Raw genomic sequence first — 14,273 nt, 5'->3', positions numbered from 1 at the left:
ACAACATTTTAACAGGCTTATAATGTTTGTAAATATACAAAACTAAATGATATAGTATTTATATATACATCTGTATGTAATAAAACCATTCAGAAAGCAAGAAAATGGTAAATAAAAAAATTCAAGGCAATAGAAGAAATACTCAGGTAGCTTCAAAAGTAGTGATAATGTTCTTTTTATGTTTCCTTCATAATATACATACTCATCACATTATTTGGTGTGTATCGAATATTATATAATGAATATCCTAATAGAAATTGTTGCCTATAGGATTAAATTTCTGCCAAGAAGTACATGGTGACAAAGAACAGACACTCCAGAGACAGACCCTTTGGCTTCTAACCTGCCTTTCCCACTTAATGGAGGCATGACCTTGGGTAAGTTACTGAAGTGCCTTGTACCTCAATTTTTGCATCTGTAAAGGGGAATGATAAAAGAACCTATGTCATGGGGTTATTGGGAGGACTAAATGCATTTATATACCTGAAGCACATAGAAGAATGCTCGGTACAAGACATGCTGTGTGTCTGTTCTCATCTTCATCACCCAGGGGGCCAGACACACAACTTCTGTTAGTTTCAGTTTGCTTGTCTGCAAAATGGGATAATAGGATTTTGGTGAAATAACATGTATGTCACAAAAGACGTGCAAAACACAGAAGATATTCAGTAGGTAGAGTATAATTATAAAAATTTTGACTCAATCTTATGGATTTCCTATATTTGGTTTTGAAATTAAAGAGCTAGTCACATGGTACAGGACTAAAGACACTAACTCTTGAGATAACTTATGCTGTGAGCAAAGACATTCTTAAAATTTTATGAAATAACATTTTGTGATTATAATATAAATTTTGAAAATGCTAGAAAATCTGTGATCCTCTCCATTTAGAAATAAGCAGTCTTCTCAGTTTAGTATCTTCTAGCCCTTTTCCTGTGCTTTAAAAAATGAAATTGAGATCACACATTTAAATAAGTATGTGGAAGAGTAGATGATGAAAGAGGAATTCTAGAGTGTCCACATGCTCAAGAAGGGAATGATATGGTCCTTTGTAGAAGTAAAGGTGGCAGCTGACTCACCTTTACTGCCTGCCTGTTGCCCTCTCCTGTAGCTGGGATGTAACTGAACACCGGGTTCTGGCCAGGTGGTGATTCAGGAGCCTGCGATGCTCTGCCTGAGGACAGCTTTTCCCAAGGGCTCTCCTTTCCCTTCACATTCTGGTAGAGGTGAAACCATTTTGGATCTGCTTCATGGAAACAAAATGTTTTTTTGTTTGTTTGTTTCATTTCATTTTCAAGATAAATGTATACTTAATTTTTATAGACCTTCAATAACCACCAGTTGGATTCCCAGCAGCTTTAGAAAGCTGTCAAGTTTAAAGCAGGTTATAACCTGTCTCATTTTAGCCTTCCTTTTGTCGTTGAACCACAGAAGTCAGAGCCCAAGCTGTTCTTCCGCCTTTCTGCAGATGGCATAGCATTTGTCAATATTAAATTTAATTTGTGCTAAGAGCAGTTCACTAACAGCGAAAACACAAAGCTTGCTGAACTTTACTTCACCTGTGTGCTTAGTACAGCCAGGATTAGCAAATGTAATGAATTCAGCAACATTATCCTACTGAAATCTAGGTCAGCTCTGTTGATTAAAAACATTATAGGTTTAAGAACTAACCCTATAAAAACTCACTTAAAATTTTACTGTATCATAACATATTGCATTTCTTGTACTTTTAAAATAGAAGGATGTGTTTATACCCAATTACTAATCCAGTGGGTCAACATTAAGAGGTCATGATCAACAACAGACATTTATTGAGCACCTATTGTGTGCAAGGCACTATACTAGGTATAGGCTGCAGAGACAAAGGAGAAAGAGTCTCTGCCCTCAAGGAGCTTACAATCTAATTAGACTAACAGGACACATGCATAAAAAGACGAAGCACAATTCAAGGTAGTATATAATATTAGGGCACTGAGTAGAAAGAAACAGGGTTTCAGCCTTTTTGCATTTGCATTTCAACACCCTGAGAAGGTGGGATGAGTGAGCTACAAAAGAGGGGCTACACTTGCTCATTTTTAAACCTTGAGACACTCTCACCTCTTTCCATTCCAAAGTACCTTCTGGCATGTGCTAACACCTAGGCAATTGGTTCACACATCCTGCCCCCCAGGGCTTATTATTATAGTTCTCTTTGACGTGGCCTTCTGATAGGGTGAGCCACTGTCATGGAGCCCAGGACTTCCCTGGTTTTAGCACTGAAGTCTGTGTCTTGGGGACCCCTCTTCTTCACTCCCCACTTGGCCCTGGGCAAACCATAATGGTACTTCTGAAGTACCTTGTATGGTAGCCAGATATATTCCTCCCACCTACCATGGTCATTACTCTGGCAGGACCTACCCCAAATCTGTTTCCCAGATAGATCTTTAGTTTAAAAACCTACAAGGAAGACCTTAACAGCACCAAAGACTGCTGGTTTAGGAGCACACTGTAGACAAAAGAAGACAATTGGGAGAAAATGACAGTAAAGAGATACAATGAGGTTTAAGAGAGAAGCAATGAGAATGGAAGAAATGATTGGGTCAGATACAAAACATGTAGAGTGTTAACATCACCTCCCAACACTGCAGAGAGAGAATAGGAACATGGACCCTTCTTTCAGAGTAGGTTTATTTAACAATTTGAACCATCACCCTGGTGGAATTCAGGATATATTTCTGAAATGAGTTTGCTCTTACACAAGGGCAAATATTTAGGCAGGTACTAAATGGGTGCATGTGCCTTTAAATAACACTGTCTTAATCCTAATAGAATTTCAACTTTCTCCTTCTACTTTTACTTAGCATTTATCATCTTCTAAGTCGGTAATTTTAATTTTTGAGGGGAGTTTTTATTTCAAAATGAGATTATTTCCCTCCATTCTCATGTCATTCAAATAGATCAGTAATGGAGAGAACTTCAGAAAACAAAGGATACACAAATCTGGTAGTAACCTAAGGATTGTGAGAGACCACACAAATTTCTCTTTTAGGTACAATACGTTGTGTTTTGCTTTCATCTATTTTTTTTTTTAAAGAAAAGATCTTACTCTGAAATCTGATGACCTCAGAAGTCTCTGAATTGCTCAGGTTTTATGTGTAGCCCTTAGGAGTACACACCAGGGTTAGCAAAGCACAGGGACTTAGTTGCCAAATGCCCATTAACGGTAATGGAAATCACACAGCTAAGTCTCCATGCAGCATGCTGAATATTTACCTCCTAATGTTCTTTTAATGTATGCTTTCTTGGGTGAATATTTACCGTAGAATATTAAATCTGAGATTCCTCCTTTTATGGGCCATTTGAAGTGATTGATTTTGTTTGCAAATTCCCGTATCTTTGCCCATAATGGCTATCTATTGTAATGGCCTCTGCCAAATGTTCTTGTGTTGAAATAACAGAAGCCATGGATCGACCAGCTGTGGCATTGTATTACTGTGGTCTTAAAAGCTAGGAGGGAGCTGATGACACAGCTGGGAGAGAGGAAAAAGGCATGTAACATAACGAGTATGACTTAGGCATCAAACACAATCAGATACTGAAATCACCGAGGTCTATAAACATGGTTCTGTAGTCATCTTTTATATCAGAGTTTATATTTAATGGTGTTGAATAGTGTTCAGACGACAGTCATGAAATGGTAGTGGGAAGACAAGAATTCAATTGCCCACAACCAGGTTCATCAGCACAATCTATCAGAATTCTAGTCATTTTCTTTAACGCTGTAATAAAACCACTTTGCAAGTGGTAATTTTTTACACTTATTTACACCACATTTTTAAAAAATATGAAATCACATATCCTAGCTACATGTAGATTTAAAACATTTCCCAGTGAAGCCATGATTTTCTGAATTTGGCCTCTTCATTCTTCTGAGTATTTGAGAGGGAGAAGTTACAAACGAGATGGAGCTACCATGATGGTTTTTTTAATAAAGAAAATCTAAAATCTGAAGATAGACAGATATGTGAGATATTATTAGATGAAGCAATATAATTACATTCTTGCATGTTGAAACTATGCCTTTCCAAATTTCCACAAATATAGAAATTGCCAAAGGAGCCACTTATGTTTGAGCAACATAACGTCTTCAAGTGATTATAAAGGTGGCCTATAAGTAAATTGTATAAAATTAATACACTTTTTCATATGTTGATAAAGTATGATGTGTTCAGAGTCCATGCTGTGGAAGACAATGTGTTGGAATAAAATTCATAGTCCCTTTAAAAACTATGAGAAAACTTAAAGAACATATTCCAGTATGTTTTGGACGGCCATTTCAATCTTACTGGCTTTGAACAGCCCAAGCCATACACATCAATATCAACTTTGTTTATGTTATGTGAGTACCCTGATTGTGTTTGCATTTTAACAACAATACTCCGTGTAATTAATAGTACTAGTTAGTGTACTAATTAAGAAAAGGGAAAAGAAGTGGTAATGCGATAAAACTTCTTTTATCATAAGCCAGGTCATGTCTGTAAAACAATGTCAGTCTTCATACATAATATTTGCTGGTGCCTTCAAATTTGGCATTAGAGAAACTAATGCCTTCTAAGTCATGTGTAAAGAAAACACTAGTATATTTATAAGAGACTATTTTTGAACAATATTACTTGTTTAAATAAAAATCTATAATATGAATTTATCTTGGCTCTGAATAAAATAAGTCCTTTATACTCCTTCAGACCAGGGAATGGTAATGAATATAATCTAAGAAGATTTGTAGTGAGTCTAAACAGTTCATAGCATAAATGAGTTGAATGATAGGGCATGTCCTTGTAGTCTCTTTTCCTCACAGAAGGGCAGCTGTTTGCTATTGTAGCCAGGGAACCCCTTGGAGCTATGTCTTTTGTGTGTGTGTGTGTGTGTGTATCCTGTGTTTTTGTGTTGAGAGGCTGGGGAAGAGGCGGATGGTGATGCTTCGAGAGAAGCAGGGGGTAGATTTTAGCCCATGTGGACACAGGAAGAAGTGTAGTTTTAACCACAAGAGTGATATAAGTAATATGAATGTAGATAAGGCTCCCCAAAATAAAGTTCCTGCTACTGTTGGGGCCCCATCACTCCAAGTGCAGAGTCTTCAAATGGGTCAAGAAGAGGCCACAAGTTTAGATTTGGGATGAAACCTAAGAGGTTGTCTGGTACAGTGACATCATTCTGCCAAAAAGGAAACTAGGGCTCAAGAGAGGACACTTACATAAATTATTACTAAAGAAAACTACCTTTAAATTTCTCTTGTTAGCATTTTTTTGTTTTAATAACATAGTTTTTGGTTTTCAATTTTGTCCTTTTGGAACATTTCTGCACATTAGAAAATGTCATCGCTATTCTTTTTACAAAAGAGCAGTTTTCCTGAAGCCTAGGGGTTCAAAAAATACAACACAACACTTCCAAGTCAAATACCAATTGCATGCTAACAATGAGCATTGTGAACAGAGTAACCTAATTCTAGGCCATTTCCAACCATCATTCAGGATTAAAGAGTTAGGAAGGATAAATTACCACATAATCATAATCTATAAAAATACTGGCCCAGATTGCACTAAAAAACTCTCAATAAATAAATATTGGACATTTGCTTTATGAAAGTCAGTGGAGATGTGCTCTTCAGAAATCATGTCCATAGTTTCAGCCTGCTTTTTACAAATCACACATACAGAGTCTAACAGATGACAAAGGTTATAGAACAGGAAAGAATACAACTTGATAGAAAAACGTCTTTGACATGGTATGTCTATAAAGGAATGCAACTAATATTGTTGAGTTGCTTATGTTGCAGTTTCAAAGGCAATACTAAGAGATCCAAACTGTTTTTAGTCATAGTGGTGTAACTGAATTGAATGTTCAGCTCCTAAGGTAACACCATTGAAGGGGACAACATTCATTAGGATGCATTAATTCCGGAATTTTTCCTTACAATCCAACTGCACTGCTTTGTCACCCCTGGTAGGCGTCTGTCCATGGTACTTCCTGAGGAGTGAAGCTGTTTTCTGCTACCCTTTCCTGTCTGGTGGCTCAGGAAGTTCAGTGTCTCGGTGTCTGATGCAGTGAATACCTGGGATTACAGTCTGGCATGCTCATTCCTTAGAACACAGGTTTATTCTCAGGATGATTTATAGCAAGTGATTCTGGTTTCCAGTCTGGTTGAAAAAAGTGAATATTGAATGTCCGTGCCCAGTTCTTAAAGACTCGTTTCTCTGTGATAAAGCGGTGATGACTGCCCTTGCGTCCTCGCTCATGGGAGAGGTACATTGTACATTCATCAGGTCCAAAAGGTTCATAATAATGATAAGGTACTGAAGGGTGATTGGGATCCCTGTAGGAGGAAATTGAGATAACTGATTAAAGCAAAAAAATTTTTTTTCCTTTGACTGATTGAGGTAAGATGTTATCTTTAATAAGCTGATAAAAATTGTATTTTCTAGTTAAATGAGTTTGAACAAATGGTTTTTCTGATTACACAATAAGGAAGTGGAGAGGTTTTGAGGTTGTGAAATAAAATCAGTGCCCATCATTTTCATCAAAGAGATTGAAAATGAGCTGCAGAACATTCAGTCTCCTCAGATTTAGACCCTACATATTAATAAGTCACAACAATAGTATTGTTTTCACTCTTCTTACAGTCTATTTACCATAAGCAGCTGCAGAGATATTACCAAAACAAAATATGTCATTCCCATTCCCCACTCCACTAAGCTTCCAGAGGCTTCCAGTTATACAGAGAGCATGGCTGCTGGGATGCATTATGATGTGGCTCCCCTTCTAAGTCTTCTCCTAATCCACCCAGCCTTGTGGATTCCCAGTATGTTCCCACCATACTGGCCTTTCTGGTCAACTCTACAAAGCTCATCCCTACTTCAGGGCCTTTGCACTTGATGGTGGTCACTTGCCTGGAATACCCTCTCTGAGTTCACTCCTCACCTTTGGGTGTCAGCTCAAGTAATATCCTTCTCTGAGAGGCCTTACCTGACACTTGCTCCCCTCACTTCATCTCACTTGAATTCATTTTCTTTATAGCATCAATTGCTGTCTGGAATTGTTGTTGCTGTTTACTTGTTTATTGGGTGTTCATGAGGGCAGTGTTTTGTCTTATTCCTGGAACAGTCCCTGGTAGGTGCTTAATAAATAATTTTAAAAATTATGTTGTTGAAAGAAATTTATATGGAATTAGCAGCTAAATAGCAAACTTCTAAATTTATATGGAATTAGCAGCTAAACGCAAATTTCTTCTCTGAGTTTGGAAAGTTGATGATCTTAGTTTGATCCTATGGGAGAAAAAGGAAGACAGCAAACAAGAGGCCACGATTTTTCTTTTGATGCTTCAGAGGGCCTATGTACTCAAAGTCTACAGTCTTTTAGTCCAGAAACTCTACATCCTCAGTCCTTGTTTGGTGGCCTGAGAGTCTCCGAGTGTTTTTCTGCCTCTATATCTCTGTCTCAGCCTCAAACAGGAAGTACTGGCTCATTTCTTCAAGATGGTGTGCATAGGATTAACATGTGGGGGTGGTAGGTGCCCTTGTTTGAGGGTTAATAAATATTTACGCACTAAAGAGTCTTGGTCTCAGACTGGTTTCTAAAACAGGCCAGTCTAGCCCACCTCTTCTGTCTTTTGAAGAATGAATGGTAAGATTAGTCAAGGTTTCTTGGCAGACAAACTTTCCTAATTTGAGCTATGCTCAGCAACTGGCCTTGTTGCAGAGACTAAGAAGAGAAAAGGCCCAGGCTTCCCAGCATCTTGCAAATCATCTTTCAGAGCCTGATGCCCTAGGGTTCCCACTTTGGTCACCTGGGCTCTCCTCTAAGTATAATAACTTGGTTTCCCAAAGATGCTCATCCTGCCAGACACCTATTCGTTTTCTTCAGAGGAGATCAATACACAAATAGCTTTTAGAGTAGCAACTCTACTGGGGTCAGGGATCGAAGTCTTTTATCAAGAGGGGTGTCATGTTTTTGGCTCTGACAACAATAAACCTTTGAGCTGTTTCTCCTCTTAGGTTAAAGTTCTTCCAGGAAGAGAGATTTATTTTTGTCATGCAGCATCTAAACATTCCTTATCCTGGTTTGGATGCTATGCTGAATTAACACTTTGCATCTCTAATATGCCCGTCTTGGAATTATCTCTATGTTCTGTAGTGAAACACTGGATCCTTTCCTGACTAGTTATTGCAGATTTTATTAATTTACTTACCCTAGAAATTGGAATCCCATTAAAATTTTAATAGAAGGTGTTTTTAACACAAAAAATGCCTTCTAACAAAAATTCAGGTTGAAGCTGACCACTATGAAGAAAAAAATAAGAATTTGTGAGACATATCTTCCCATATTCATATGGCATAATTTGGGGGAACCATGCCAATTTCATGTTGCCATGGTATGCTTGGGGTTAAGCTTTTATTCCATCACAAATCACTTTAAATTTGATTCATCTAAGTTTTGGACATTTTATTGGCATCAATCTGACTAAAGAAACAGTTAGGTTTCTAAAAATATCATAAGATTGATTCGGCACCTAGGAGTAGGGGGCAATTGGAAACCAGCTAAAGATGCTACAGGATCAATTTCCTTATTCAGGAAGACCATCTCTTTGGAAAAAAAACTTATCTGACTCCATATTGATCCCCTAAAAAGAGAATTAAATTTACATATTTGGTTACTGTGATTTCAGAGGTGTCAAGATAAGTTATTCATGTAAGCGAGTTGTTTCCACATGTTAAAACTCTGTCCAAGCAGCAGAAAAGTGCTTTCTGGGACTCAGAAGGCAGCGCTGGAAACTGCAGGAACATCTACCCCAGCTGTGAGCCTGCCATCAGCTGGAATTCACTAAATTCACTATGCCATTTAGAAAGACACTCCTAGCTGAAGGTCATACTTCCTTGGGTCTTTTCTCAAACCTGACTTTCTAAAGACTGCCCTAGTTTTTTTCTTCCTTCACCTGACCTCAGTGAAAACTACAATAAACCTCAGCGGAATTTCCACATGAGGAAGCAGTTGTAAAAGGAATTCTGGTACTCAAGTTCCCATTGTGGGCCCCGTGAGCTGAAGGAAAGGATATGCGGGCTGGGGAGGCAGGAATGGAGATAACCACAGAACCAGTTCCCCAAGTGGCTGCAGCCTGCCATGCACACTCTGACAGCCAGTTTGAGAACAAGCCCTGCAGAATGATTTGAGGAAGAATTTTTTTTTCTTTTTAGAGGAAGCAGGTGGGGAGAGTGAGGGAACTAACATTTAGTGCGGTTGGGGAGCTTTAAGGAAATACCTATGCTCCAACCCCATAGACTCTGCTTCGGATGACTTGGAGAGGAACTCAGGCACAGGTATTTTAGAAAGTGTCTTAGGTTTGAACCAAAATAAACAATGTCAGTATTGGATTATAAAACCAATAAAATAAAATAAATATCCATGAGTCCATGATAATTTCAATAAATAACTGAATAAATAAACAAATAAATGGAGGAGAAGAAACAGCATTTCAAGACAGAAAAATTCCAATAAACAATGTAGAAAAAATGAGGGACTAGGAAACCATCCTCAGAACGTTGCAGTAATTGTCGCAGGCAAGATGCACCAAATGAACAGAACATTAATGGGGAAAAAGATGAGGAGAAATAGGCTACCTGCATAACCTGAAAGTATCTCTCCCAAGTTATTTATTAATGACAAAGGGAAAAATACTATCTTTACAATAGGTAAACCCAGCAGACATTACCTTAACCAAGTGATGAAGGTTAACATTGCCAGTAATAAGACGTATGGACATCACATACTTCCTGTTATGAGATTCTGGGAAGGGCCTATGGCTTCTGTGGTATCCTTCTCAGTAATGCATAACCTCAATCTAAGCACAGGAAAACATTAGATAAACCCCAAGTGAAGGACATTCTATGAAATACGTGACTAGTCCTCATCAAAAGTGTCATGAAATGCAGGGAAAGCCTGAGGAACGGCCATGGATTTAGAGACTGAGGACACCTGATAAATAAATGCAAAGGGAACCTGGATTCGTTCTTGGAGGACATAAAGGACATTAGTAGAGAAACTGGTAAAATCTCAATAATGCCTGTAGTTTAGCTGAGCATTATACTCATGTTAATTTCTTACTTTTGATAATTGGACCATAGGAATGCAAATCCGCATTAGGGGAAGCTGGATAAAAGTTATATGAACTCTCAGTATTATTTTTGCAACCTTTCTGTAACTCTAAAATTATTTGAAACAAAAATAAACATATTTTTAAATAATACATATCATAACAACAAAGCTTTTTAGAAGATTCAAATGGTGGAAAGCTCCTTGAGATTCTAATATGCAGCTAAGTTTGAGACAACTGATTTTGTAAGTACCTGCTCAGCTTCTGCGCTTAACTGATGTGATCTCCTTTACATCCTCATCAGCCCTCTGAGGCAAGTATTGCAGCTCCCATTTGATAGGGAGCATCTGATACCCAGGGAGACAGTCCACTGCCTGGCTTTCAGCACACAACCTGACTTATTGTCCATCCAAGCTGCTGGACTTGACTATTTCAGCTCAGAACACAGTGCTCAGCACTCCACATACACTCACTTATTTAGTCCTCACAACACCCCTATAAGACAGTGTCAGTCCATTTTGTGTTGCTAGAAAAGAATACCCAAGTCTGGGTAATTTATAAAGAAAAAAGCCTTATTTGGCCCATGATTCTGATGTCTCAAAAAATTCAAGGTTGGGCATCTGGGGAGAGCCCCAGGCTGCTTCCACTCCTAGCAGAAAGTGAAGGGGAGCTGGCATGTGCATAAATCACAAGGCGAGAGAGGAAGAAGAGAAAGGGGGAGGTGCCAGGCTCTTTTTAACAACTAGCTCTGTTGGGGGCAAATAGAGTGAGAACTCACTCATGCCCCGCCCCAGGGAGGGCACTAATCTATTCATGAGGGATCTGCCCCCATGACCCAAACACCTGCCACTAGGCCCCACGTCCAACACTGAGGATCAAATTTCAACATGAGATTTGGTGGGAACAAACAAAACATATCCAAACTATAGCAGAGAGCTACTATTAGCACCCCTACTCTGCAGACGAGGAAACTCATGCACAGAAAAACTGAAGTTTCGCAGCCAAGGTTTGGACCAAAGCCAGTTGACTCCAGTTGACTCTGTACTCTTAAGAGTGAGGTTCTGTGTCTTGGAAAAACTCCTTTCCCCCAGGTGGGGTTTCTGTACTAATGGCACCCAGGTTTCCCTGGGATCAACAGTGTGTGGTTGAAAGCAGCTTGTCCTTGCCGCTTTCCTCCGAGCTCTTGCTACAGAGGAGCCCCATGTGTGGTGCTTGCGAGCTGCTCAGGGTGTTAAACAGAGGCTTTGTGCTCATGTGCAATTCTGCCCATCGGTGCTAATGGCAACAGGGGTTTGTAATGTTCCACTTTTTGACTCTTCTAAAGCTAAGTTTTACAACTGAAAAAAACCTCATAACCCTAACAAGCAAGGGAAGACACTTCCATTTCTGGGTACTGACGAGGTTTAGGACATGTTGCTCCAAAATATGGTACCTTGGCATTTGAGGAAACAACAGAAGCAGGGAGATCACTTTCACCTCCCTTCACTGTTCTCCTCTGATGCAGTTCATAAAAGATTTCTTTGCCCTCGTCTAAAGCAGGTCATAAACTTTCATTCCAGAGGTACCCTCCATATATCCGGAGGAAATGAACATCCTTATCTTCAAAGACAAGGAAATGTCAAAAGAATCTGAACAAACATACCTTGCTACCTCCTCCCACCCACCCTGGTTTATTACCATCAGATCACACCTGCTTTGTCCAATCCTACTTCTTCACAGCTATCCACTTCCTCATCAAGCTTAGCATAAAAATAAGGAGGTCTCCCTGTTTCTTTGGCTCTTCATTTCTGAAGGCTCTGGTGTCACGTAAAATTTATATTAAATAAATGTGTATGCTTTTCTCTTGTTAATCTGTCTTTTTTTCCTAGGAGTCTCAGCAAAGAACCTATGATGGATGAGGAAAAGAAATTACTTTTTCTCTCCTATAGTGTGATCTAGGTTAACCCTGCCCACTGGGTTTGGGGCTGGACTATGCAGAAGGCTGCAAATATCCTGAGGAAAGAATGGTGTCTTTGCCTCTCTCTAGAACTCTTAGACACTCTCTTTAAACACATTTCTATTCTTGGTGCAGTACCTGGCATATAGTAGGTACTCAGGAAATGTTTGAAGAATAGAGAGAATAGAGTTGAATTAATAGCTGTGAAGCTGCTAGGTTGTTCTGCAATTGGCTTGCTCTGGGGGCTTGGTGACACTATGAGGCATTGAGAAGAAAACATTCCTGCAGCAGTCCTTCCCAAGCATCTGTCACAGTCCTGGAGGTGCCCTGAGCCACCCTTATTCTGCTGCCTTGATTTCTGGTCCTTGGATCTTCTTATGGGAGGAAAAGAGCTGTATACCTTGGAAGCCCATGGAATAGCATTGTGTGTCTAGGCGCATGGAGCACCAAGAGCCTGCAGCTGCCCACAGTTCATGGGACAAAGAGCCACAGTGAATCACTCAAGCCCCACCCTCACCCTGGGAGAAACACAACCATATATTTTAAGTCTACTTCATAAAACATAAACCACATGGGCGGCATTGCCATTCCACACCCGTCTTCTGTGAGTAAGCTTCCGATTCTACCCGGTGGACTGTCGCCAAGTAAGAACTTTCCCTGTTAGGCTGGCAGCTTTATTAATGTTCGCTAGCTAATAATTCTGGCAGCATCAACTCTCTGATATTCATGATACCTTTGAGATGTCCTTCATATTGCGGATGAGATATTAATTTAGTTCCATGACAGTGATCACTCTGAATCATTACCCCGCTAATTAATACTCAAGAAATGGTGGGTAACAGAGAGTTGTAAACTTGGTAATGTGCTAAGTATGACCAGAAATAAGATTATTAGGTAGAATTTAAATGCTTGGCCCATTATTATCACAAATAATTTATAATGGAAAATGAGATTAAATACTTAGCATAACTTAGTTTGGAAAGCAACGACAACAGATCTTTTCACGCAATTTATAGGCCATCTAGAGAGAATGAATTTGGCTTACAGTATGGATATGGCATGATTTAAGAGTCCACTGTCCACTGAATAATATATTTTGATGCTGTTTCTGGTGCAACATGGCATTAATTTTCTCCAGCTTTCTCAACTTTGATGTGCCTGAAGTCTGGTGATACAGGCAGGATGGGGGCTGATGCCTGAGCCCCTCTTTGAGTACCCAGAGCTGGCTCTGGCTGAAAATAAAACAATGTGGCCCTCATTGACTTCTCAAAATCTGAATTTGCTAGTTATAGTTTTAATGTGCCTGGCACTTTTGGTCTTGCAATAATAACGTTTAGAATCAATCTCTTAAACACCCCCATGGACAGGGCTTATTTTTGTTTCTCATTGAACTAATCTGTACTGAAGATACACTCTATGCCAGACACAATGACAAGTGCTAATGATACAAATGTGGATTGAGACAGGGCCCTCCTCTTAAGGAGCCTAGAGTCAAACAAAGGAGATGGACAAACCAATCAGTGAGATGGGGCAAGGCAGAGGAAGAGGGATGCCCAGTGGGCCCAGTAGGTCTGACTCAGACAGGGGGCTAAGGAGAGCTGAGAAAGAAGGGCCACTGTATCTGAAACAATGAACTGAAGGATTAAGAGCATTGGCTCTTGAGCCCTGCAGACTGCATTCAAATTCCAGCTCTGCTATTTATTTGCCCTATGACCATGGGCAGCTGTTTCATGTCTTTAAGCCTTCTATGTAAAATGGTGATATTAATGATGCTTACCTCATAAGATTATTATAAGGTTCAAGAAAATAATGCATGTGTTCATGTTAAGCACAGAGCCAGCATGAAGTATGTGCACAACAAATATCAGCCATTAATGTTATTAGTAAAGAGCCAGTGGAAAACCAGCCAGCTTAAGGAAGTAGGGGATGGGCAGTCCAAACTGAGGTCATAGGAACAGGTGTCTGCAGGGTGAGTTCCTTTATGAATTTTTCAGTAAGGTTGAATAAACAAATAAACACATAAATGCATCAGTAGAGAAGATGTGACTAAAGTGGTATGCAGAAGCCCTATCCTGAAGGTCTTGTGTGCTAAGCTAGGGAGTATGAACTCTGCTCACAAAGCTTTGGGAAGTCACTGAGGAGTTTTAAGTGACTCTTCACAGTCAGATTTGTCATCTAGTAAGGCAGTCATGTTTGGAGAGGAAGAAGACAAGT

General features: G+C 39.5%; 1 protein-coding gene and 1 non-coding gene across 4 annotated transcripts in view; both read right to left on the bottom strand.

Moving 5' to 3' along the window:
- Positions 1–1,780: 1,780 nt before the first annotated feature.
- The window catches only part of ST6GALNAC5 (ST6 N-acetylgalactosaminide alpha-2,6-sialyltransferase 5), a 200,067-nt gene continuing 187,574 nt past the window's right edge, over positions 1,781–14,273 (bottom strand). For all 3 annotated transcript variants that reach the window (NM_030965.3, NM_001320273.2, NM_001320274.2), the window contains one exon: positions 1,781–6,352. In NM_030965.3, coding sequence (NP_112227.1) covers positions 6,121–6,352 — 232 coding nt within the window. In that variant the 3' untranslated portion in view covers positions 1,781–6,120. The remainder of the gene's footprint in view (positions 6,353–14,273) is intronic.
- On the bottom strand, positions 9,125–9,184 carry MIR7156 (microRNA 7156). Its single transcript, NR_106978.1, has one exon. It is a non-coding gene; the product is annotated as a microRNA 7156 (primary transcript).

Source organism: Homo sapiens, chromosome 1, assembly GCF_000001405.40.
Source record: "Homo sapiens chromosome 1, GRCh38.p14 Primary Assembly".
NCBI classification, from domain to species: Eukaryota; Metazoa; Chordata; class Mammalia; order Primates; family Hominidae; genus Homo; species Homo sapiens.
This window is presented reverse-complemented; position numbering and strand designations above follow the sequence as displayed.